This window comes from Homo sapiens, chromosome 2 (assembly GCF_000001405.40).
Source record: "Homo sapiens chromosome 2, GRCh38.p14 Primary Assembly".
Lineage (NCBI taxonomy): Eukaryota > Metazoa > Chordata > Mammalia > Primates > Hominidae > Homo > Homo sapiens.
This window is the reverse complement of record NC_000002.12, coordinates 30723255-30748848: the sequence shown is the minus strand read 5'-3', so window position 1 is coordinate 30748848 and position 25594 is coordinate 30723255. Positions and strand designations below refer to the sequence as shown.

At 47.2% G+C, this 25594-nt stretch overlaps 1 protein-coding gene across 9 annotated transcripts in view; it reads left to right on the top strand.

Moving 5' to 3' along the window:
• The window catches only part of CAPN13 (calpain 13), an 84676-nt gene that overhangs the window by 58598 nt on the left and 484 nt on the right, over nucleotides 1-25594 (top strand). For 2 of the 9 annotated variants that reach the window (XM_011533159.4, XM_011533160.3), the window contains 12 exons: nucleotides 3115-3126; nucleotides 5270-5466; nucleotides 6490-6523; nucleotides 6885-6941; nucleotides 10392-10449; nucleotides 10556-10614; nucleotides 12278-12346; nucleotides 14325-14400; nucleotides 16283-16411; nucleotides 17450-17505; nucleotides 18063-18119; nucleotides 18963-19146. In XM_011533159.4, coding sequence (XP_011531461.1) covers nucleotides 3115-3126; nucleotides 5270-5466; nucleotides 6490-6523; nucleotides 6885-6941; nucleotides 10392-10449; nucleotides 10556-10614; nucleotides 12278-12346; nucleotides 14325-14400; nucleotides 16283-16411; nucleotides 17450-17505; nucleotides 18063-18089 — 774 coding nt within the window. In that variant the 3' untranslated portion in view covers nucleotides 18090-18119; nucleotides 18963-19146. Of the gene's footprint in view, nucleotides 1-428; nucleotides 2448-3114; nucleotides 3127-5269; nucleotides 5467-6489; nucleotides 6524-6884; nucleotides 6942-10391; nucleotides 10450-10555; nucleotides 10615-12277; nucleotides 12347-14324; nucleotides 14401-16282; nucleotides 16412-17449; nucleotides 17506-18062; nucleotides 18120-18962; nucleotides 19147-19657; nucleotides 20527-21469; nucleotides 22251-23951; nucleotides 24616-25594 lie in introns of those variants that run through there. The other 7 variants (XR_939741.4, XR_939742.3, XM_047446332.1 and 4 more) reach the window with 7 other exon arrangements.

Here is a 25594-nt window from a genome sequence, read left to right as displayed (position 1 = left end):
GAGAGAAATCACTGGGGTTTAGCACAGTAGTTTTGAGGTGCCTCAAACCCGCTGATGATATCAAAGAATATCTCTTAAGGATGCAGTAGTACACCGTTGTTATTTTCATCACACCTGGTACCTGAACACCTTTTCCACTTTAAGGGAATCCTGGTGGGAGGCAGGGCCCAGCCTCCTACTGCAAGCAGCTAGAGGCCAAATATCCCCTCAACCAAGCCCTTGGATGCAAAAGTTGTAGACTTGTGACCCAGGCCTGCCCAATTAGATGCTCCCTTCATCTCCCCCTCACCCCTCACACACACACACACTCAGTCACTCAGAGCCTTGGCATTCAAGGAAATAACCAAAACAGGTGGGAACAGCTGAGGATTATTTGCTGTGTAGCCATCTTGTCTGGCCCCTGCCCACCTCTGCACTGCATTTTCTAGCATCCCATCGACGTTGTGAGCTGTCCTTCCAAGAAGCATCTTTCAGCCCACCCCAGCCTGAGATAGTTTCCAGGGCTTTCAGACGAGAATTCCTGCTGACTCTGGTGCCTTCTAAGAGGACCCTCAGATTTTCCAGCTCTCACCTCTGGGAAGAAAAGGCTAAAGGCAGAAGGAGAGATTTGTGAAAGGCTGAGAAGGAACTGAGGCCCCTGGTCTGCCCAGCCAGGACTGACCAGGTCAAGCACCAAAGAGGCCTACTAGAAACATCTCAGCCAACTCTTCCTTCTTCTGAGCTAAGACAGAAGCCCACAGAAGGATCAGAGCTGCCCCGGCACACACGCAACTTCTGAGGCTCTGTTCACATGGGTGACCATGGGCCTTGTGTTGATTCACCCAAAGTCTTCACAGTTCAGGAACCCTACCAAGATTGTAACCACCCCATTTTTAAAATGACATCAAGCCCACTTTCCTACTTTTCTGCCAGAGATGTGTTACTTCTCACCATTCACCAATTTGCTGAAGGAACTCTCAGACCCAAGAGCTCCTCAGGCTTCCTGGAGATCCCAGCAGATCTTGCAAGATCCTGATTGAGTTAAATGTCAAAGAACAGTTCAGACCTGGACAACTCAAATGACACTGGTTGCTTTCACAGTTCAGCTGAGAAACAACAATGTACCTGCCAGCAGCCAGGCTCTCAGAAGGCTCCAGGGCTCAAATGGAGTTCCAGGGCTCCAGTGCTGACCTGCTGATATGATGATGCTCCAGCCCTGGCATGGGTCTGTGACTCCCCAGTTGCTGTGGGAGCACTGCTCTGCTTTATGTCCAACCAGACCTTGATGGGATATGAATAGGCAGGGAGAAGACAGGACAGTGAAAAGGATGAGGGTGGATGAGCCATTTCATCCTCACCTCCCTCAAAGTTCCTCCCCAAGGCCTGGACTTTCCACCTTCCTCCCAGCTCACCCTTGGCCTCCAGAGAAGTCGGCTAAGAGGTCTGTACACATGGGTGGGGCCCAGTGTCAACAATGGGAAATAATCAAGCCAACTAAGGAAGACATCACCTGGTGGTGACAGGGCTTGACTACAAAGCAAGCAGCACAGCTTCCCCGATTCCCAGCTCTGCTACTTAAACTGCTGAGCCTCAGTTTCTACACCCATAAAATAGGGAGCCCAGCATCGGCTTGCAGGATTATTGTGAATATCCAACACATTACATAAAAGTGCTTTGCAAACCGTAGAGAGGCTTACAATGGAACTGCATTCTCAGGTATTCCTTCTACTACGTGAAAAGACTGGAACATGGGTATCTCCCCATTCATAGGCACACAGACATTCCTACAAGCATCAGGGGTGGGAGTGCAAGAACGAATTCCCATCTATTTACAGTGGCCTGATAGAATAAAAGAAGTTGACTTCTCAGGGAAGCTCCCGATGTTAGGGAGCTTACATTTGCGCCAGGTTCTGTGCTATCTGTCAAAATCTCCCCCTTCCTTTCAGTGCGATCATCATTGCTGTGAAGAGTAACCACACCTTTCAGGGCTGACCAAAGAATACCTCCTCCTCTCAGACACCTCCTTTTCTGCCTCAGTTTCCTTCCTCTTGCTGTTCTCTGCAATTGAGTGGGTTTCATTTTTCACAACCTCACACAGAGCATGAGTGACCAGTCATCCCAGTTCACCTCTAGGTGTGCCAAGGAACAGGCAGGCCACACAAGGAAGAGGAACGTGTTCCACTTATAAATTTTTTGAGGTTATCCTCATTGATCCATTCCATAAAACTATCAGAGGAAATCTTGACACCCAGCAGATCACCAAATCTATCCACAAGCATGGGGAGATGTGTGGGCTGACATCCTCAGGCTGCAAGAGCCATGGCCTTGGAAAGGGCCGTAAGTTCTACCACGCTATTGGTGGTTCTCACCATGCAACTTGGAGAAGGTGCAATATTCTCCAGCTCTAATGTTATCACAGATATAAGTAACGTTTGTAAAATTCATACCTAATAAATTTAGAACAGTCATGTCTGCTTACAGCTTTATGTGTCTGTTAAAACTCGTCTGCAGATTGGTCCATGAATGCTTTGTTGAGTCATGAAAGTTAGAGTGCAATAGTGTTTGAAGACTCTAAGTGATGGTGTATCTTGTTTCTAATAAGAAAAATTTCTTTTGTCTTTACTTCATCTTGTTAGACAGTGATATGTCAGTGTTTAAAACATCCTTTGTGGTGGCCAGGCACAGTGGTTCACGCCTATAACCCCAGGATTTTGGAAGGCCAAGGCAGGCAGATCCTGAGGTCGGGAGTTCAAGACCAGCCTGACCAACACGGTGAAACCCCGTCTCTACTAAAAACAAAAATTAGCCAGGCATGGTGGCACACATCTCTAATCCCAGTTACTCAGAAGGCTTGGGCAGGAGAATTGCTTGAACCCAGGAGGCGGAGGTTGCAGTAAGCCGAGATTGCACCATTGCACTCCAGCCTGGGTGACAGAGCGAGACTCCATCTCAAAAAAAAAAAAAAAAAAAAAAAATGCTTTATGGCATAACAGATATAAAATAAATTCTTTAAAAGAGAGGAAGAAAAGGAGAAGGAATGCAGGGATGAAACCAATGAGCCAAGCTGTTCGGTTCTGCTTGCCTTTTTGTTTACGTCTGAGTTCCTAAATCTGCCTTTCTCCCTGTTTCCAACAGGCTGGCTCACAGGTATGGCTCAGCGTCGTCCTTGCCCTGCGCCTCTGCTGCTGTCTGCTGGTGGAGTGTTAGGCCACTTCCAACGCCCATGGCCTCCACGTGTTCAGTGGCTGCAAATTCAGTCTCGCTAAGTCTTACATCAGACACAGGCCTAGAATCCCCAAACAGGTTCACAAAGCAGGAGAATAGTTAGGTGTCCTGGTCTGAAGCTTCGACCCTTTGAGCTGTTCTCTTGCTAACATTCAAGTGAAACCATCCTCAGGCCCGTGGCCTCTGATAGAGAAGATTGATGGAGATGGTTCCTTTTTATTTAAGATGAGAGCAGCACTAAGGGGTACCTTGGAAAGATCTTTAGCCTCCTAAAGTAGTCAGTCCCCAAATCCTCCATAAGCAGGATGCATGCTCTCCAAATGCAGCTTCAAGGTACATCCTTGAGCCCGTCTTGCAAGAAACTGCCACCCTCCTAAACAGATCATCTGGCTCAGGATTGGTGAAAGGTGACTTGCCCATATGAGGAAGGATGGAGAAAGACAGGTGGAGTTTGGAATACCTATCCTCACAGGCACTCAGACCCACCTCTCTGCCCATGGCTGAGAGTGCTGAGCCACCAAGAGGGAGGTGCATCTGCCTGGGGACCACAGATGAAAGAGAGGAGCAAGATGTGGCCACAGACAACAAAGAGTGATTACAGCACCTCCAGGCCTTCCAGGGGAGCCTGCCTGTGACAGTGGTGGCCCAGCCACAGAGCGGGGGTCAGGATCTGACTCTGGTCCCTGACATCCCAGCTATGAAGTGGAGGGTTGGGATGGGCATTGAGAGAAGCACTCAGGTGCAAGGAGCCATCAGCGTCTCAGGTCCCAGAGCTGGAGAACAAAGTGGCACTTAATCCAGGAAAAGCACAGAACCCATCCCTAGAACTAGAGTCAGGTCTGTGCATGACCAGTCCTGGGTGTGTGGTTTGTTGATGCTGGATACTCTAAGCAATTGACCAAGAACCCCCACGTTGTTCCCCCACACTCACACTTCTCACTGCCACTGAGCAAGTCTGTTCTGAAGGATCAGGAGCCTGGACAGGGCTATGAGGGGTCAACAGAGGGAGCAGGACAAGATAACGGGTGAGCAGGGAGACTGTTGCCTTCTAATTATAGGAGGCATGCTGCCCACACACCTCTGCATGCCCACTGCCTCCCCATGCACCCACACATGCATGCACACTCGCCCATACCCAGAGCCACGGGACACTGCTGACCCTCTGGAGAAGAACTGATTCCATCATTGCTTTTGCCATAAGGGCCCAAGCAAGTCAGGCTCCCAAACCTGCTGAGGCTATTGTTAATGTCAGCAGAATCGCGTTGGAGATGCCACCCTCCCATACCCCTGGGGCAGTGGCCTATCTCCTGTTTTACCTTGGAGCCCAGCCCTGTCCCTACCCCTGAAAAGAAACTTTCCCCTTTCCCGTTTTCCCTGCAAGGCATAGCTCATAAATAATCATTTCCTGCTGCATAACCATTCGAAATGGAATCCCTATGCTTGACTATAGTGGGGAAAATTTGTTTAGCAAGGGGTTTTCATTATATAATATGTATGTGACATCTGGTAATAGGAACTGCATTATATTTATTGTTTTATCTCTAAGAAAACATTGAAATAAAAGGAAAATGATCAGGGCCCATTATTCTCCAATGAGAAGGAATCTCGGGGCTTCACTGGAGAGATGAAACAGAGAAAGTGAAAAGAATTCAATTCTGTAATGGTATAGCAGTCCAAAGTATTCTGCTAAACATTCAGGAGAGAAGGGGCTTTAGGGGCCCCAGAAGAAAATCAGTGTCAAAATGATGTCACTAGTTTCCATGGAAGTTTTCTCTCTATATAAGCAGGGAGAGAAAACTCAGAAACTCAGGATGCTGTTAGACCCAATGAGATGAAACTGTGTGTGGTATTTCCTTGCATCCATTGTGTCCAGGGTCTAGATGAAATGACAGGCTAAACACTACTGCTTTTTGAGACTTCAGCTGAGCACTGTCTCCATTTATAGAGCCTGTAATGTTATCTTGGTGAATGGAGACGGTCTAGAAGGTGGTGGGTCTTTCTTGGTGACTGGGGTCCATGCACAGAGGAGGCTTTCTCACAATCATTGTGTTTCCTCTAATTCCAGCGGTTCCGGGAGAAATTTCCACCCGTGTTTTTTTCCTCGTTCAGAAACACTGTCCAAAGCTCAAATAATAAATTCCGCCGCAACTTCACCATGACTTACCATCTGAGCCCTGGGAACTATGTTGTGGTTGCACAGACACGGAGAAAATCAGCGGAGTTCTTGCTCCGAATCTTCCTGAAAATGCCAGACAGTGACAGGTACAGAACCCTCTGGGATTGTAAATGTTTTATTCTACTTAACTTTATAAAAACACATTGTGTAATTATGGGCAGTTCTCTGTGCATTCGTGCAGCCTGTGCTATGTCACTGGGGACATGATATTGGCCCCACTCTAGAGCAGCTCACCATAAAGGGGGAGCGAGAAAGTCTATGAACCAAGAACCAGACCACAAACAGGATGGGTCCATTGCCAGATGGAAATGCAAAGTGGCACGGGAGGACTGAGTGGCAAGAGGGACTGAGGAAGGCTTCTTGAGGGAAATGACACGTGAGCTGGGCTTTGAAGAAAAACATAATTTAATAGTTTAAAAGGGAAGGCGATGGTAGCCATGGGAAGGTAGGTAGAAGAAAAAAGCATGAATGGCGGGAGGGAAGTGGCTGTGCACAGGGCTGCTTGGAGAGTAAGTAGCATCGGCATCCATACAGGAAGGTGGCATTTGGCCAGCATATCACATGGCCTGAAATGTGGGGTATAGCAGGGAGACAGTGAAAGATGGGCCTGAAAGAAAGAGTCCATCATGGAGGGTCTTCCATGCCAACTTGATCATTCAAGACTGGGACCAGCAAGTGCTCACCCCACTGGGCCCCTTGTCTCCTCTTGGGCCCAAGACAGACATTGCCATCATTATGGCAGTCTTTGCAGCTGAGCATTGGTGAGACCTTCTAAGTCCAGCATGCCAGGCCGCCATCATACCACCAATCAGAGATGGAACCTAAGGCAGAGCCTATCTGCCATACTGACAATGGGGGTTGCTGGAAGTGTGTATCGGGTTGTGGAAGGAACCATTTACTAAACAGTTAAAGACCAGACCATTTCCAGCCAAAAGGCTGGGCTGGTGGCCACGGTGCTGTAGCTGCTCACTTCGTGTCCTGCGGTGCTGAGGGTGCCCCATTCAGGAACTTGGCATCAATATCCAGTGCCACCTGGGTGCCCTCTATATGCAGGCCCCCTTTGAGTGGTGAGCTGGTCATCTTTGTCACACTGTCCTCTGATTTTCTAGGCACCTGAGCAGCCATTTCAACCTCAGAATGAAGGTAGGTATGCAGCAAGGTTTGGCTGGCGAGCCTCATTGGCCCCATCCCATCCCCAAGAGCTTCCGTCTCCTTCTTTACACCTCCCGCTGCCCCCAACCAATGAAAAGAGAGACACCATGATAGGCCGATGAAGGCTCAAAGGGGCGGGGTAGGGGGAGAAGACCAGGCCTCCAAGGCCAGGCTCAACCCAGCCCTCTTCCTTCCACAAACTTCAGTTTTCTCATTCCCCAGAAGGCTTTTTCCAACTGCCCAATAAAGACTCTTTCTCAGATCTTGGCAGGGGTTGTTGCACCCTTGCTGTACCAGATGGGTGGCCTCCTTCCCCAGAAGTCTAACATTGACTATTTTCCCTTTGATCCAGGGAAGCCCTTCAGAACATGGCTCCCAACAAAGCATTTTCAACAGATATGCTCAGCAGGTATGGTACCTAGCACCCAGGGGCCTTACGTGGGATTGGAGAAAGGGGACCTGAGGGAGGGACAGCTCTCACAGGCCCTTACTGGGATGCAGAGAGGAGAAGTGACTTGATGGACTATTTTACCTGCCTCTCTTCCTGGATCGTCTCCAGAACTGCTGTGGCTGCCAAGCTCGGTAGAGACGTGGCGCCCCACCCAGTGTCATCCGGGGGACTTCAAGCTGGAATGCAGAGCTTAGAAAGGGAGGGGATAATTATGGGGTGTGAGGTGCATTGCCCTCTAAATCTTTAAACAAGCAATTGGCAGTACCCCGTGAAACCTTTCCTTCTCCTACTCGGCCACCTCCCACCAACCTGGCATCGTTCCTCCCGGGAGCTAGCCAGCTTCAGAAAGCACATACAGCATCCTTGCTGCCAAACCACCTATGTGCACACAGGATTTCCTTAATGGCTTAATAAACTGTTATAAAGAACTCCTTGACTTGTCAGAATAAAATAGCTGCCAGGGGCTCTGCACAATGAGCCTCTTACCGTTAATAATTGTGTTAGTGTGGAAAGTGGAAAGTGATACCGATGATCATCTCTACCCTGCCGCCTTGAACCAGGAAGAGGCCAAGGACAGGAAGGATGGCAGGCCCTGCCTCTGCATTCAGAGGGTTAATGGGGTAGTAGTCACCCAGAAGCAGCCTGGGCCAAAGTAGGGAAAAACTAAGAATGTGGCTGGAATGAGTGGCATGTGTTGCAAAGAGCAGCTGTACACAGGAACACGGACCTCCATGAAGTCAGTACCAGCCCAGGATCCAGGTCCACCATCTGGGCTGATTCAGGAGGCACTTCACTCACTGCATGACAAGGCCGGCCAAGATGACTGCCCTCAGTCTGTAAGCTCCCGAAGGCAGGGATGATATTATATGCATTCCTTGTCCCCAACACTGATCACTGTCCTTGGCCCGAGGAGGTGCTCAGTCATTTCTATTGAATTAAGACAGATCACCTCCCCCAGAGCTGATGCCTGAGTGAATGAAGGTTAGCCCCTGAGGTGGTTAGCAGGGCCGGATTAGGATGCCTGAGACCAAGCTTCCTTCAGTGGCAGGTGGCAAATTCTCACACATGGCCCATGCACCTGTACCTCTAAAATAAAAATGTTTGCCATATGTGAAGATGGGACAGATTTTCTAATCAGGACTTTTCCAAACAACAGCCAAGTTCCTCCTCATAGAGGGTGACTGGTGGCCCATAGGGGGCCTTCGTGGGAATAAGAATAAGACCCCAGTGTGGCATTCTGCCAGATACATGGCTGGGAAGCAGAAAAGAGACTGGATTCCAGCCCCCTTTCACCTCTCAGCCAGGCCCTCTTGAGCAGGGCCCACCTGGCAGTATTCTGTAATCCTACAAACTGTCCTCAGGGTCTGTGTCCTCCAAAGAAAGTTTAAAGCAAAATATTCCTCCATGCACTCACTGTGTCCTCTCTTCTGATCTTTTCTACCACTTTAACTAGATTTAAACTAATACAATGGTTGCCGGGCACGGTAGCTGACGCCTGTCATCCCAGCACTTTGGCAGGCCAAGGCAGGTGGATCGGGAGGTCAGGAATTCGAGACCAGCCTGGCCAGCATGGTGAAACCCCATCTCTACTAAAAACACAAAAATTAGCCGGGCATGGTAGCGCACGCCTGTAGTCCCAGCTACTTGGGAGGCTGAGACAGGCGAATTGCCTGAACCCACGAGGCAGAGGTTGCAGTGAGCCAAGATCGTGCCATTGCACTGCAGCCTGGATGACAGAGCAAGACTCCATCTCAAAAAAAAAAAAAAAAAAAAAAAAAAAAAACCTAATACAATGACTTGATACTACCACCGGTTCTTCCTTCACTGTAGTAGTGGTGACAGCTCTATAACCCAGGGTCTGCCTGTGGGAAAGGAAGGATCCACTTAGACTCTGGGATGAGCTAGGTCTATCCACCAAGTAGCCAGCATTTACCCATCATCCGGACATTACAAGCCCCACTCTAAGCTTTGGGAATCCCAAGGAATAGCTTTTGGGCATCTTGCATTGTGGTGGTTGAGGCAAACATGCAATTTTTTAGGAGACTAAGCAACCCTCACTCTATTCCTACCCTCATCTCCTCAGACTCTTTTGGTTGGTTATGAAGTGCAGGACCCGGGGCAGGCTCTGTCCTCACATGGGAATATGGAGGAAAAAGACACGGTCCATGCCCCAAAGCTGCTTTATAGTGGACGATTCCATGGAAGTTGGAACTCCTCATTAGCATGCTAACTGCTGTTCAAAGCGAGGTGTCCTGAGTCTCTGGAAGAGAAACTCAGTTGATAGTGGGCACTCAACACTAACTTTCCTGATAAAACCCAGAGTGAAATGTTGGTGAAATGACCCGAGGACCATCTTCAGGCATTGGCAGGATGCTTTCCTCAGGGGCATCCTGAGGGGTCATCCTTCTAGGTGAGGACCCCATCTGGACAGGCTCTGGGGCTGTTTTTGCTTCCAGTTCAAGGTGGTAAGGCCAATCCTGGGAGATGGAAGGTGCTCATTCTCAGAAGACCCCCAGGAGGCACCCTATTCTACATGACCAGTGCCACTCTACAGGACCACCTGCTGATAAATCTTTCCAGCGCCAGCTCCCCATGAAAATGCTTTCCCAGGGCGATAGCAGCATAGCATCCCCTCTTCCCTTCCCAGGCTGGACATGAGGAACAGCCGCATATAGAATAGCTCCATGTCTCTGTGAAATTGTCATCAAAGACACTGCCTGTCAACCTGCTGGATGCCCCCAGTATAAAATCAAATGTAGTTAACTGCCCCAGAAGTTGAGGCCAGGAAGAGTTCCTCCCTCCCCAACCTCAATTGCTTCCTGCTCTTAATCCGAAGAAAACCATGATGTCTCCCTTTTTGCTTCAGTGGCTGGGAAAATTAATGCTACGTAATGTGCTCAATGATAGCAGTTTCTCTTAGCCCACATTTCTGGTATTTTTAATTCCTATTATCACACACGTGCACGCACACACACACACATACACACAACACACACACATGCACACAGTAGTCATAGTTTTTCCTAGTCTCTTTCTGGAAGCAGATGGGGAACACATCTAAAGGGTTGAGTTGATTCATTCAACAGTACTTACCCTGAGGGGTTCCCCAGTGCCAGAGATAGTGGCAAGGACTAAACTGCTTTCAGTCCAGTAATAGATAAAGACAGGAATGCAAGGTCACCCACACCAGGGGCCAAGCATCAGGAGTGACCAACACGACAGATGTGCAGGGGAGGGAGTCACTACTATGGCTGGCAGCCATCAGGTAAGTCTTCATGACGAGGGCAAGATGGGTACATTGTGGGGACTAAGTGCTTGGAAATCTGAGTGCTTTTACACGGCAGGCAGATGTGCCTCTCAGATCCTGGCACTGATATAATTCCTGCATTCCTTCCTTGTTTGGATCAGAGGCTGGACATTGATGCCACCCAGCTTCAGGGCCTTCTCAACCAGGAGCTTCTAACAGGTATGAGCAGCCCAAGGGCAAGCTGGCCCCATCCTCCTCCCTGCTGGCAACCCCACCCCACACCCCACTGTCAACACTTCAGTCCTTCCTGTCCTTCTCTCCTCAGGACCTCCAGGGGACATGTTCTCCTTAGATGAGTGCCGCAGCTTGGTGGCTCTGATGGAAGTATCCTTTGCGGTCATCCCTCCCATGCTCTGAGCACCCCTCAGCTCTGTGGGCTTCCCCAGAGACCTAATTAGGACAGTAGGGAACCCTTTTCCCACTCAGTATTTTCTCTTCTTCCCTGTCCTTGAGTTTCTGGGGATTCTCTACTAACTCACTAACATACCACAGCAACAATGATAATAGTTACCATCTATCAAGCACCTACTATGTGCTGATCAGTGTACTGGGGTGTGTGTGTGTGTGTGTGTGTGTGTGTGTGTGTGTGTGTCCTTATAATTCTTGAAGCAATCCCTCTGATACAAAAAAGTATCATCTCATAATACAGTAGAAGAAACAGGAGTTCAGAGAGGTTAAGTAATTTGCCCAGATCACACAGCTAGTCAGGACTCATGCTCAGATTTGAAGTTGGAGCTTTCAGCCTCCAAAGTCGATGCTCTAACCTTATCCTAAACCGCCCCTTTATAGCACCGTTGGGAACTATTTTCCCTTTTACCCATTCACTTCCCACTGGAGGAGTCTCCATTATTTAAATTTCTTACTTCAACAAGTCCCCAATTCAATCAAGATAACTACCACCAAAACATGGAAAACTGCCTGGTCTACACAGCAGTTGCACCCCAGCATTGCTATGCTGCATTCACAGCGGGAGACGCTGGGCAGAGGCAGTTCAGAGACTCACTCCAGGCCCGTGGCTACAAGTGTAGGACCAAGAATTGAACCCCAGACTCCTGACCCTCCTCCTGATTTCCATTCCCCAGTGAGCCATCCTCTTCCTGCGTACCCCTGGCTTGGCAAGCAGAAGAGGCTGACTCCATGAGTGTAGACCCCCAGATGCTGCCCTGCCAGCCCCTCACTCGGCAGTGTGCTGTCTCCTGAGACGCATTGCCCCGCTCCTGCACCGTTGACAAGGCTGAATTGGGACTGTGAAGCCGGCCATTGTGAAACAAGAGGGCTTTTTTGATGAAATCATAAATCAGGCCCTGTCTCTGCTGGCTGTGCTTTGGAATCTATCAGAGACACAGCCCATCTCCCACAGAGGAATCCAAATGGTCCTCACAGTGCCACGGCCCGGGGTGAGTAACCCGAGGGGAGGTCACATTTGCTGGACCCCTGCAAAGCGGACAGGTCTCTTTCAGCCTTCTTCCTACTCATGGCTCCCCTTCCAGTTCTCAGAGGTTAATGCTTTTCCCTTCATTAGTCATCACTGAACCCATCATACGGCATGGCCAGGGCTGGCTTTAACATGCCCACGAGATGCATTCCCTCTACACTTGTGCACGCAGGACTCTATGTGCTCGCCTGTGGCTGCTGCTTCTGGGGTTGCCATGACCCTTCGTGCTCCTCCCCAACTTCTGGAGCCAGAGGGCCCACTCCAACTGGTGAAGGCCGTGTTCTAGACCCCTCTCTTCCCTCAGATGCAAGTGATATTGGCCTCCTTTCCTCAGGGCTTCCTTCTTCCAATTGCCCATTTTTCTTTGTAAAACAAATCTAAGCCAGGTCCCTTTCAGACACAGCGGGAGCCAGCTGGCATGGGGCCACATCCAGGTGACAATGGACCAGCTGTGTTGCTAGTGATGAATGGGCCTGCTCTGGCTTTGTTGGCAGGATGGCAGCCCCTCTGCACCTTGCACGCTGGCTGGTTCACTCTTAACTCCTTACCCAGCTGAAAGTGAATGGGCGGCTAGACCAAGAGGAGTTTGCGCGACTGTGGAAGCGCCTTGTTCACTACCAGGTACGGGCACATTCTCTGTGACTAGCACTCTCATTCTGTCCAGTTAGCAAGGATTTACTGGGTGTCTAACCCTGCACCAGGGTTCAGGGGTATGAAAGAAGAGGAACTCTCACCCCTGCCCTCAAGGAGAGCTCACATGTTGTTTGGGGAGACATAGTGCAACTCCAAAAGGCACAAGGCAATGCCTAATTAGGTGGCGGAATGAGGGATGCGTTGGAGGTGGGAGGAGAATGCTGTCTCTGTAAGCTAAAGCTACCTGCTAGCATCTGCCCCCACCCCCGCCCCTGCATCCACTGCAACACCTGCTAGCTTATCTCATTCCCGTCCAATCCACCTGCCAGAGGATCTGTCGAAAACATAGATGTGGCCTGAGGCCTCAATGTGGCCTCCCCATTGTTCCTAGGACAAAGTCTAAGCCCTCAGAGTGGCACGCAAGACCCTCTAAGTGGGTCCCTATTTGGGGCCCAGGAGAAGCCCTTTCCACTCATCCCACTCTCTCCTTTAGACTCCAATACAAGTCTAAAGGAGATTCACTATTTCCTGTAAACGTCACACCTGTGCCCCTTCAGCCTGCCCCTCCTGCCTCTCCCCTCCCTGCACCCTGAGACTGGCCAGTGCCCACCTACCCTTCATACTTCAGAATTTTTCTTGTAATATGTATACCCACACATGCCAAATAGAAGTATAATCTGTTTTTAAAAACTAATAAATGCCAATAAATACATCAAATGTCTAGCCATGTCACTAAATATTTTCATAACATGTTTAAAGGCTGAAAAAAAGTGTTCCTGTGTGGCTATTTCAGTATATATCCCCGGATCCCCGACTAGGGGTCACTTGGTTTCTCATTTCATTGCAGGGCACTGCGACGGCTGGCATGTCCACTCCCCTGGGTCCCCCGGGGCAAGGGTCCCTCATATCCATCTTTCCCCAGAGCCTCCCTAGTGGCTAAAACACAGCAGGGGTTCAAAATGCTGAATCAATGACTGAAGAAATTCCGAATGAACGAATGAATTCCTGAGAACAGTCTAGGTCTGTCCTTGCACTCACCAAAAGCCGAATAAGGCCCCCAAAAAGCTGTCCAGCTGCTATTTTGCAACAGTTGTCTCCCATGGTTGGCCTCAGTCACATGCCTGTGTGTGGGTACTTTGCTTTGGAGTAGCTCCTGGGGACAGCTAGGCATAGACCCAAATTAGAGTCCTGAGTTCAGTCCTGCAGCACTTACACACCTCATCCAAGGCAAAATGTTCCCTGCCTGAGTATCAGTGTCCTCATCTGTGAAGTACGATGTTGACCAGGATTATACAGAGAATTGGATAGAGGTAGAAAAGGCCTGGGTGGGTGCAAGAGCCGCCCCATACAAAAGTGATATGTTCCGGTTGCCACCTTCTGCCCCTGTGCTGGGCTCCAGGAAGCAATTCTAACCTGCTTTCAATATTTTCTATAGACCATTCACTAATGTGCAAAGCACTCCCTCAAGCACTTTATAAATATTTAGTCATTTACTCCCTGCAACAAACCTGTGAGGTAGGCACTGTAATTAGCCCTTTGCTACAGATGAGGAAACTGAGGCCTAGGAAGATTAAGTCATGGCCAAAGGTAATACAGCTGGTAAATAGTCCACGATTTAAGCCCTAGCAGTTTGGTTGTAAAGCCTGTGCTCTTAACCACTACCCTACGCAAACTCTTTGGAGAGCCCTACACTCCCCTCAAAAGTAGAAAACTGCCCTATGTGTCAGGGCCCAGTCTGGGGGCACAGAAGAGGAAGGAGCATGGGTGAGGAGGGAAGCAGCCACAGCCCCTCAGCGGGCAGCCAGGATGGTCAGTTCACCAGGTGTGGCCACTGTGTCCTCCCAGTCCTCAGTGCTGTGACCGTGCCTTCCTCTGAGGTTTAGGGAAGCAAGCTCCCAGGATGGAAAAGGAGTATCCAGACCTTCCCAGTCTTCACACAGACTTCTTGCTTCTCTTCCCCTATTAGCATGTTTTCCAGAAGGTTCAGACAAGCCCTGGAGTCCTCCTGAGCTCGGACTTGTGGAAGGCCATAGAGAATACAGGTACAATGGGGACTTTGGAGCTGTGGTGCCCAAGGTCCGGGGAGGGGGGTGATGCCCACACCCCTAGTAGCAAGGCTGGCACAACAGTGCCAGGCAATCAGGAGAGAGGAGCGCTGCAGCTCTCGTGTCCTCCCCAGTTCACACTGACCCTGGGGGGCCTCCACGGTTGCAGACTCAAACACAGTTGCCCTGTCTGAGTTCTCACGTGCCATTCAATTTTCCCAGATGTCTTTCCTCCCCAGCACAGCTCTAATTGTGAGAAAATAGCCGTTGCGTGATTGATACCCTATCAGGAATCGAGCTCGCCTTGGAGACGCGCTTCCAGCTCAGTATCTGGGCCATCAGGGTTAAATACCCACAGGCTAGCTGATGATCGCTCTCTCTCTTCACAGAGAGTTTGGGGCTAAATTAAATCAAATGGCATCTGTCTGCTTCAAGTAGGCAAAGGCTTTCAGCCCTGGGATAATGAGAATAATTCCTTAGGGTGCATAAGTTCTCCATGGTTCACCAAGCACTTCTGTTCGCGTCATCTCCTTTGACTGTCTCAACTACCCTGCAAACTGGGAAGGGCAGGAATCATTACCTCTACTGTCCCAATGGGGAAAATGGGTGACAAAAAAAGTTGCACAAGGAAATGGCTACCTTCCTTTAATAAAATGTAAAATCACATTTCCCCGGGTTAACACTGGAAGGATAGTCTCCATCATCCTCCCTTCTGTGGATCCTGGCCTGGAGACAGGGCAGAAAGATCAGACCGTTGCCCCCACCTGTAGCCTGGATCCTCCCCTTAATGCTTCATAATGTGGAACTGGGACTCTTCAGGGCTCGTTAAAGCACAGATTGCTGCACCTCTGATCAGGGGGTGTGGGTGGGGCTCAGGAATTTGCATTTCTAACAAGCTCCCAGGGGATGCTCATGCCCCTGGTCTGGGGACCACACTTTAAGAATCCATTAAAGATGAAATCTTTTAGAAAGACCTCACACATGACTCCAGAATAATAAAAGAGAAAAAAGTAGAAAATTGTTCAAATTCAATTCAGTAAGCCTTCAGCAGCCAGGCAAGTAAGTGAAAGGGGTGATGGAGCTCACAGTCAGAAAACAGGTGACTGAGAACAGGACCTGGCTTATCTAAAGGCATTCGAGTTCATGTTTTATTAACTCCGCTAGAGAAACCTCCTGTGTCTCTGGCTGCCGGAGGCTCATGGGCCACCAGGCTTGTCCCCATGATGGATGGTTTGGCTTGCAGGGTTCTGCTTGCTCTCTTAAGTCTTGCAAAGCCTGACTATGTGCCAGTGTGCACTTGGCCCCTGTGAGGTCGGTGCCTCCCTGGAGCTTATAACTAGAAGCACAGGATGACAAGGCGCTGAGCTCCTGCCTGCCTGAGGCCACCTTCTGCATTCTGCTCTCCCGCCAAGGGTCAGTCTTTTCCCTGGATGGACTTAGGACTGCATCTCCTTCTGCCAGGGGCCACTCCCACCTACACTAGCAGCATCCATAAACAATCCACCTACAGTCATGGGTGGGGAGGAAGGTTGTGAAGGTCATCAGCAAGGAGAAGTTTGACAGAGGCAGAGCTAGAAGCAACCCCCAGGTGTCCCAGCAGCTCTCCCATTACGTGGGAATGATCAGATGATTGTGAAGGCCAATGTATCTCCAGAGCAGGGTCTTCAGCATCTTCACGTGGTCTCTGGCCAGACTCCAGAACTAGGTTCCTGGGGCCTAACAACCAACAGGAAAGAGAAGACACTGAAGGGAGGGGGCTGAGTGGGAGGAGTTGGTGGGAGGTGGCCGGGCCCTCTGAACAGGTGTCTCAGACCCTGAGAGGCAGAGGAACCCCCGAGCCCTAGCCTCCTCTCACTCACTCGTTCACCTGTGGCCCCAGACTTCCTCAGAGGGATCTTCATCAGCCGTGAGCTGCTGCATCTGGTGACCCTCAGGTACAGCGACAGCGTCGGCAGGGTCAGCTTCCCCAGCCTGGTCTGCTTCCTGATGCGGCTTGAAGCCATGGCAAGTAAGTGTCCCCAAGGGGCATCCCAGAGACCTTGGCAGTGACCGAAGAACACAGGAGAGGACCGGACACCCCCTACCCCACCCCAGGTCTGCGTGAGGCCTCAGCAGCAGGGTGGGCCAGCAGCCTGTGTGAGGTGCCAACCGAGGCTGTAGATGGTGTGACCAGCTCCCTCCGCACCCCCCTCTCCCCTGTAGTTCCCCATCGCAGGTCTCTTTTCCTCATCACCCTGACCAGCCCCTCTCTCAGGAACAAGGTTAACGCTGTCCCCGTCTCCAGGTTGTGTTTATCATTGAAACCTGCTCTTCAGTTATGTAATGAAGGATTTTGGTCTTTGCTGCAGGAATTTCACACACAAGTGAATAAGTAGGGGCAGGAGGTCCCTCCCCAGGCTTCAGAAATCCAACTGTGTGGGCCGAAGTTTCCACACTTTTTAGCAGCATCACCCTTTGTTTTTAATGAAATCTAGTGTGAAACCCCGAGCCACAGTCGGGCCACAGTGGGGCCACCATGATTGCAGGAGAGAGGCCAGACCCCTCCCCACTCATAATCCTCTCACCGCCATGCCACGAGGCACTGCTGCAAAGCCTGCAGCTCTGAGCTGGGCAAAAAGATTGAGACACTAAGGCTCTGGGAGGGTAAAAGAGAAGCCTGAGGTACAAGCCTTGGCCCCCACACAGTTCTCGGTTGCACAGGGAAGGTCCCCAAATTGTATCACTGAAAGAATGACAAGCCCTCACATCCCCACAGCCTAGTGTGGATGGATGCAGGGGCAGGGAGTGCAAGGAAGCTGGGAAAGGGAGAGGCGTGTGGGCAGAGCAGGCACACAGCCCCTCTGAGGAGGTGAGCCCTGAGCCACTCGCCCCGTGCAGAGCTCGGCTAGACAGAGAAAAGGATGGGTGACAGGCACACCCCGCGGAGCAGGAGGGGCTGCTTTACAGAATCACCTCCTGTGCTTCTTATGGGCCCAGGCCTGCCTCCCCTGAACTGCCTGGATTCCTTCCTCCTCAGTCAGTCAAAACCTTCCCTTCTTTATCCTAGAGACCTTCCGCAACCTCTCTAAGGATGGAAAAGGACTCTACCTGACAGAAATGGAGGTGAGGTACCTTCCCCTCCCCGGGGCAGGCACAGTCCCAGGCTGCCTCCCCTGACTTGATTCCAGAGGGCATTTTTCTCCCTGAGGATATTGAACGGTCTGTCAAAGGCCAGCCAAGCTGTCCCCCCAACCTCCAATTACTGCCTTATATATCGCTGGCCGCCAGGCTGCTTTAGGATCTTGGCAGACAGATTTTATTTTTTTCCAATAGCTTAATAAAGCAGAGGATTATGTGGGAGTCATAAATCCAGGAGGGAACAGAAGGACAGCCCGCTGAGCTCACTGTACATTAAACTTATTCCCATTGAGTTTTAGAGGCTCCTGACCAGCCAGCTGGTAGACCTAAGATATATACGTCTCACTGCCTGGTTATTCAGGGAGTAGCAGAAGATGTGCTGTGAGACAACCCCGCCCCGTACCCTGCTTGGGTTGGAATTAGCTGGAAGGGGTGATGAGACTGGACTGAGGTCTTCCGAGGGAGGAGGGTGGCATTTGCCCTGCTCTGTATTAAGCTAACAAGTGTAAAGAATTGTTGTAATGATGATGCTTATTTTTCAGTGGATGAGCCTGGTCATGTACAACTGAAGCAAAGAGGAAAGCAGACCCATGGCTCAGGTAAGACATGGTAGCTTTGGAGTCTTTCCCTCCTGGGAGCATGAGTCCTCCTTCCCCTCTAAGAACTGCACATAAGACTCTCTCCTTGGGAGAGCCTCCCCAGGGATGACAGACCCTTACATAAGTGAACCAAGGCTTAGCTGCTCAAGGCCCTTGAGTTTCAAGGCCAATGCTGCAGATTTCATGCAGACAATGTAGACCAATGGACCTTTATGGAAAGGCATGGCTTGAAAGGCATGAATGAGGGTTTAGAATCCTTCACTGCAGTTCGAAAGAAAAAAAGTATCTCTCATCACGGGAAGGGCAAGAGAAATGGTGGAAATGGAATGGTGTAGAGCAACAGAAATGGTAGAAATGGTCAGGCCTTAGGGAGAGAAGAGCGGGCTCTAGCCCCAGCTGTACCATTGTCTCACTGTGCAGCTTTGGACAGATGATGAACATCTGTAGGCATCAGTGTTTATCCCTCTAGCATGAGTGTGCTGAAGAATTAACACTCACGTCATTTCCTCTACATTTTTTTTCATGAAACAGACCCTAGAGTTACATAGTCCACACCCTAACCCTGCTGTAGCAGAAGCCCCATCAGTCTTCTAGAATTCTTTAGGACAGGGGAGCTCAAGATGTTGTGGTTCCCATTGTTGGACATCTCCGAGTGTTAGGTATTCCTTAGCTAGAGGCAATCATCTACTTCCCTGAAACTTTCTACTCATGCTTCTGGCTCTACTCTCTGGACCACTGTAGAAAAAAATACTGGACATGCAAGACCTACAAATATTTGAGGATACCTTTGCTATTTTGCCCAAAGCCTGTCTTCTTTAATTATTCATGTTGGTTTTCATCCAGACCTCCTGGTGACCATTCTCTATGTGCCAATATACCTTCGAAGTATACAGTTCTTCACGCAGCCGACCTGTGATCAATATCACCTAAAACTCGATTGTTTTGGTAAACAGTATTTAATCTCCCATTCATGTACCTTGAAGTCAAGAGACAGACACTGTCTCCATAAATAATGTTGTAGCATAAATATTTCCTGATGAACGCTTGATGCTTTCTAATGATCGCAAATGAATACTGCAGAGATCATAGTTAATTTGACCCAATCATATTTCCTTGAGTTCTCCTTTCACTCCTTTTTAAAAACAGAACATTTGATTATTTTCAGTTTTATTGTGTCTGTTCCAATCTGCATGACTTCTAATATCAAAAATGATTCTTCAATTGTATATTTAAGCTAATTTGATACACAGGGCCTAAAGGCTTAAACTTTCAAAGTAACTGGATTCTCTCTTACTACCTTTTCTCCGTACAGGGTCGCGATTCCCTCTTAACTAATGTTTCCACCCTTCCTATTTTTAAACAATGTGTCAGAAGGAAGGATAATATTAGAGGCATTGTCGTGTTTACTTCAGTTTCTTTCACTAATGCCTATCATCAGCCACAGGAGCGCTTCCCTAGCTTCCTCATTAATCACCACCCTCTGGTATCACATCATTAAAGCACTTCCACTCACTCTTGGCTTGTGGTTTGCTTTACAGAATTGGAGGCAGGAGGGTGAAGAAGTTCTGCCTGCAAATCTACAAACCCACCTTCCTCTGTAACTATCTCCCCACTTCTTCCTCATTATCCTTCACCTTCTCAAGGGCCTGATTGAATGAATTCTCTCTTCTGTCTTCTGAATACTAAACCTGTCTCTGTCTTCTGGAGTCATTTAACTCCCATTTAAAAATGTGTATCTTTTAAATTTCTTCATCTCCTACCCCTTCCAGCTAAACTCCACCTGTTTCCTCTCATTGCAACCAAATTTCATGGAAGAGCTCATTGTCTACATATTCTCACTTCCCACTCTCCCTGCTAACTGCTTCAGTTGAGATTTCTTTGACATCATCTCTCTCCCTGACTTTGGCATGGCCTCCCTATCTGATTTTCCTATATCTACTCATATCCCTCAAATCAATTTCCGGCAGCTGGACTACACTTTTTAAAATTCAAATCCAATCATTACATTCTCCAGGCTTAAAAACGCTTCAATGTCCTCCCATTGCTCACAGGAAAAATCTGGCATCATTAACATGGACCACAGGAGCCTGTCTCCTCTGGACCCTGCCCACCATCTAACCACAACTTGTCCCTCTTTTTCCTGCTCTCTACTCCAACCACACCATTACACCTTTACTTCCTTCTATTTTCCATGCTTTTCCCAGCCTGAAGCCTTTGGCCTTACTGTCTGCTCTGTCTTGGCTGTCAGTCACCAAACTCCTGATCCTTTATGTCTTAGCCCAGTTGGGTTCCCATATTATGGGTTCCCATATTATTCACTCACATATCACCCCTCCCCAGTCATAACATTCAACACACTTGGTTGTAGCCCATCTTCTTTTAAAGAAATATATTGAGATATAATTCACACATTGTAGAGTTTGCTCATTTAAAGTATAGAGTTCAATGGTTTTTAGCGTAGTCAGAGGTGTGCAACAATCACCACAATATGATTGTTAGAACATTTTTATCACCACAAAAAAGAAACCCCATGCCCATCTAGCATGCCCACAGCAGTTGCTCCCCAATTGTGTCCCACCCTCTAGCCTGAGGCAACCACTAATCTACTTTCTGAATCTGTAAGTTTGCCTATTCTGGACATTTCATATGATTAGATTCATACAACATGTGGTCCTTTATGACTGGCTTCTTTCACTTAGCGTAATGCTGTCAGGATTCATCCATGTTGTAGCGTGTATCAGTACTTCATTCCTTTTAAGTGCCATATAATATTTCATTGTGGCTTTACCCCATTTTTTTCATCTATTCCTCAGTTGATAGACATGTGGGTTGTTTCTAGTTTTGACTGTCATTAATAATCCTGCTATGAATGTTTGTGCACAGGTTTTTGGGGGGACATATGTTTTTATTTCAATTGGGTGTATAGTTATGAGTGGAACTGCTGGATCATACGGAAATTCTATTTGTAAATTTTTGAGGAACCACCAAACTGTTTTCCAAAGCAGCTACACCATTTTACATTCCCACCAGCTGCAAATGAGAATTCCATTTTCTCCACATCCTCAGCAACCCTTGTCATTGTCTGTCTTTTATAGCAATCCTAGGGAGTGTGAAGTGATATCTCACTGTGGTTTTGATTTGCATTTTCATGATGACTAATGATTTTGAGCATCTTTTCAGTGCTTGTGGGTTATTTTATATCTTCGGCGAAATGTTCATTTAGTTCTTTGTCCATTTTTAAGCTGGGTTACTTATATTTTTACTACAGAGGAGTTATAGATGTTCTTTGTATATTGTAGATACGAATTCCTTATATATGTGATTTGCAAAATTTTTCTCCCCTTCTGCAGGTTGTCTTTGCAGTTTTTGATGCCATCATCTGTAGCATATGAGTCTTTAATTTTGATGGAGTCTAATTTATCTATTGTTTTCTTTTGTCACATATTTTTGGTGGTATAGCTGAGAAATCATTGCCCAACCCAAGGTCAAACTATTTATTCTGTTTTATAGTTTAGCTCTTACATTTAGGTCTTTGATCCATTTTGAGATCATTTTTTATATGGTGTGAAGTAACGTTCTAATTTCATTCTTTTGCATTCATTCATTTGTCCCAGCACCAGTTGCTGAAAAAACTATTCATTCTCCTGTTTCTTTGTCTTGGAACCCTTTTCAAAAATCAATTTAATATAAGAATGTATTTATGGACGTTCCTTTCTGTTCAATTGATTTATGTGTGTATCTTATGCCAGTATCACACTTTGTTGATTGCTACAATTTTATAGTAACTTTTGAAATTAGGAAGTGTGAGTTTTCCAACTTTATTTTACTTTTCAAGACTATTTTGGCTCTTCTGGGTTCCTTGCATTTACATATAAATTTTAGAATCAATTTATCAGCTTCTGGGATTTTGATAGAGATTACATTAAATCTAAAGGTCAATCTGGGGAATATTGCCATCTTCACAATATAAAATCTTTTGTTCCATGCGTCTCTTCATTTTTCTATATCTTCTTTAATTTTTTTGAACAATGATTTACAGTTTTCAGTGTAGAAGTCTTACACTTTCCTTGTTAAATTTATTCCTAACTATTGTAGTTTGGGATGCAATTTTAAATAAAATTGTTAATATTATTTTCAGATTTTCATTGCTAGTGTACAGCAATAAAAATTATTTTTATATTGATCTTATATCCTGCAACCTTGCTAAACTTGTTTATTAGTTCCAATATTTTTAAAGGGCTTCCTTAGAATTTTATATATTCAAAAGTCATGTAATCTGCAATAAAGTTTTATTTTTCCACTCCAATATAGAGGCTTTTTATTTCTTTTTCTTGCCTAATTGTCTGGCTAGAACCTCTAATACAATGCCGAATAGAAGTGTACAAAGCAGACAACCTTGTGTTCCTGATCTTGGGGGAAAACACCCAATCCTTTGCCATTAAATATGATGATCACTGTGAGTTTTTCATAGATACCATTTGCCAGGTTGAGGAAGTTCACTTCTATTTGTAGCTGGCTGAGTTAACACACTTTTCATTACTTGCTTGATGTCAGTATTCTCTGCTAGACTATAAGCCTGGGTATGTCTTGTTTGTTGCTATTTCCTTAGCACAAAGCGAAACACCTACCCTGGAGAAACTAGTTGGTAACTTTCTCCCAAATAACCGAAATAAATCATTCTTTCAGGTTTATACCTTCCTTTGTTTTGTTCTCATCCTAGCATTTGTTAGTATTAGCTTACATCCTAGTCTTCCTGCTATTTTAGCTATTCTCTATTTTCTTCCCCTTTGGTGTACTGGAAGGCAGGTAGTTAATATTATCTTGTTATTATCTCTAATACATCATGACCCATATTATCTTATGAAGGCCTATTTTTCCCTCACTTTTTTGAAAAATTTGAAAATTTCCCTCACTTTTTTGAAAAAGTTGAAAGTGTCCTGGTCACTTCAACTCTATCCAATATTCCCTTACTTTGCTATTACAAAGTTTCTTCTAGGAGTTCCAACACTCTGAGGTCAGCAAAGAGACTTTTATCGTTAGCCAGGATTCGATCCAGAGAAGTCCCTCTCCTTGCTCACTTGATCCTCCGTGTTACAAAGTGTCCCTGGAGCGAGCAAAGTCTTTGTCCTGAGTTAAGCGAGCTTCTCCCAGAGATGAGGGTTATTGGAGCTCCATCACCAGTCTACTTGGTTTCCAGGTCACTCCCTACAAAACTGTGTACAAGAGGTCTTTTATCTGCCCTTGGACTCACCGGGCAAGTTGAGGTATACTTTTGTTGTAAGAATACTTCTGTTCCTCTCTCTGGCTCATCTTCAACCCATCTGCTCTCCTCTGACCTAGCAGATTGGGATATAGGTATATGCAACTGGGATGAACTCCTCTTCCTCTCTTCCCATCATATATATTTCTTTTAAACAAAGTGTATGCCTTGTTGTCACATTGCAGGCAATACCTATGTTAAAATATGTTAAAATATGTTTAAATATAAAGTTCATACTTGAAAGAATGCTAACACTTAACTCATTGCTCTGTGCTCCTTGGACACTTGAGGCTGTATTGATTTTAATTGATTTCAGAGTCTAGAGGTTTAATACACGGCAAATCACACCCTGCTGAGAGTTTGTCTAGCTAATGTCATCTACATCCATGTTGATCTATCAATATGCCAGTAAAATGCCTTATTCTAACAAAATTGTCATTTATAACAATTTCCCACTGTATAAAAATACAGTTTCTTGAGGAAAGGGCCACCTTCTCCTATTCTGCAGGATTTAGGTGAAATATGACAACAGTGGCCCTGGTCTTACTGAGACCAACAACCATTTTCTGCAGGATGAGTCTACTTCTAGCCCAGTAAATCCATCTCTCCAATCTCATTCTGTTCATCAAAAGAAATTCTTTTCGAGAGACCTGGCTAGATGTTCGGTTGAAGACTGACACCCCAGGGCAGATGGAACTGTCAGAGTTCAAGTTAAACTCTCCTATACTTCTGAGTTGAGAGTTGTGAGTCTGGATGTGCCTCTGGTGATGTGAAAACACTCAACACCATTGGCAAGCATACACCTGGTGGTTACCAGGCACCTTGAGATGCCAGGGTGTCCAGCCTTCTGGAGCTGGCTTTGGAAGAAAAATGTATCCAACTGGGAAACCGACATGTACACTCCAAGGGCATAAACCAAGGAGGAGGAAGAGTTGGAATCCGGGAAACAGAAGATCCAACACTAGACAGAGACAGGGAAGTCCAAGGACCAGCGCTATGCAGCAGAGCAAGAGAGTGAGCCATTCCGAGAGGAGCTGGAGGGGTGGCCTTTGGGGAAAATGGGAGCAATTTTTGATCAGATTGCTTAATTATAGAAAAAATAATGTTCAGAGGGATTTTGAAATTCTGCTGGAGAGCTTTGGAAGAATTAGTAGGATAATGACTTAAACTAAGCAGACAAAAAAGTGAGGTAGTTATTAACTCCTGGAAGAATAAAGAGTTACAGAAGAGAGAAAATGTGATCCTAGAGTATTTTTTCACTCAGCAGTGAACAGTACATATATAATTGTAATAAAATACAAATGGAATATTGATTTAACAAAAATGTGACATAAATATATCAGAAGGAGGGAAGATGTAGACATGAAAGGGGGTTAGAAGCAACCCCACCCCATCTTGCATCATAAGAAGTCAATAGGCATTTAAAATTGACAAATCAAGAATTAACTGCATAAGCACATTACCTAGAAATATGGAGGTAAACATCAGAAGAAAGAGTTTAGGGAGGGGAATTTGGATAGAAATGGGACAAGAACCTGCTATTTTTCCTTCGTGCCTTGTAGTACTCTTTGAATTTTCTAACCATGTATCTTGGACTGAGTTTTCATGGAAAAAAAAATAGGCAAACTAGCAAGTAGTCTGAGAGACAAGAGAGGTGGAGGGAGGCAGGGAAGAAGAGTTGAGGCCTCTTTACCCCATGGGTAGGGCAGCTGGCTGATTATTGCAGAAAACATGACTATGCACGAATGTCACTTTATTCCAAGCCCCCTGCACTTGAGAAAAACCACTCCTCTGCAGAAGTCCAAAGCTAGCCATCTGGAGCTTGGATGGGACAGAGCTCAGGGCTGTTGTTACTATAGCAGCCCCTGGCCTCAGCCCTTCTAACCTGCCTGGAGATGGGAGGAACATCTCTCCCCCAAGTTTCCCTCCACTCCAGTGCCAGCCCTCAAGGTGCTAAAATGGGCTATGATATGAACTCAAGCTTGGGGCAGGACAGGTGGGGGGGTGCCCTTTAAGGAATTTTGAAGAATGGGGTAGGGTCATCCATTAAGGGGCCATGGGCACGTTGGGGTCTGTCAGCCTTGCCAGCAGGAAGTGCCAGTGCTTCCTTTACTGTGGGATGATCCAGAACAGCATCTTTGGAATGGGGCCCCACTTCCATGGTCACTCAAAGGAAGGAGTTTCTTTACTCACCCTTGGCCCTCTGCATTTGCAC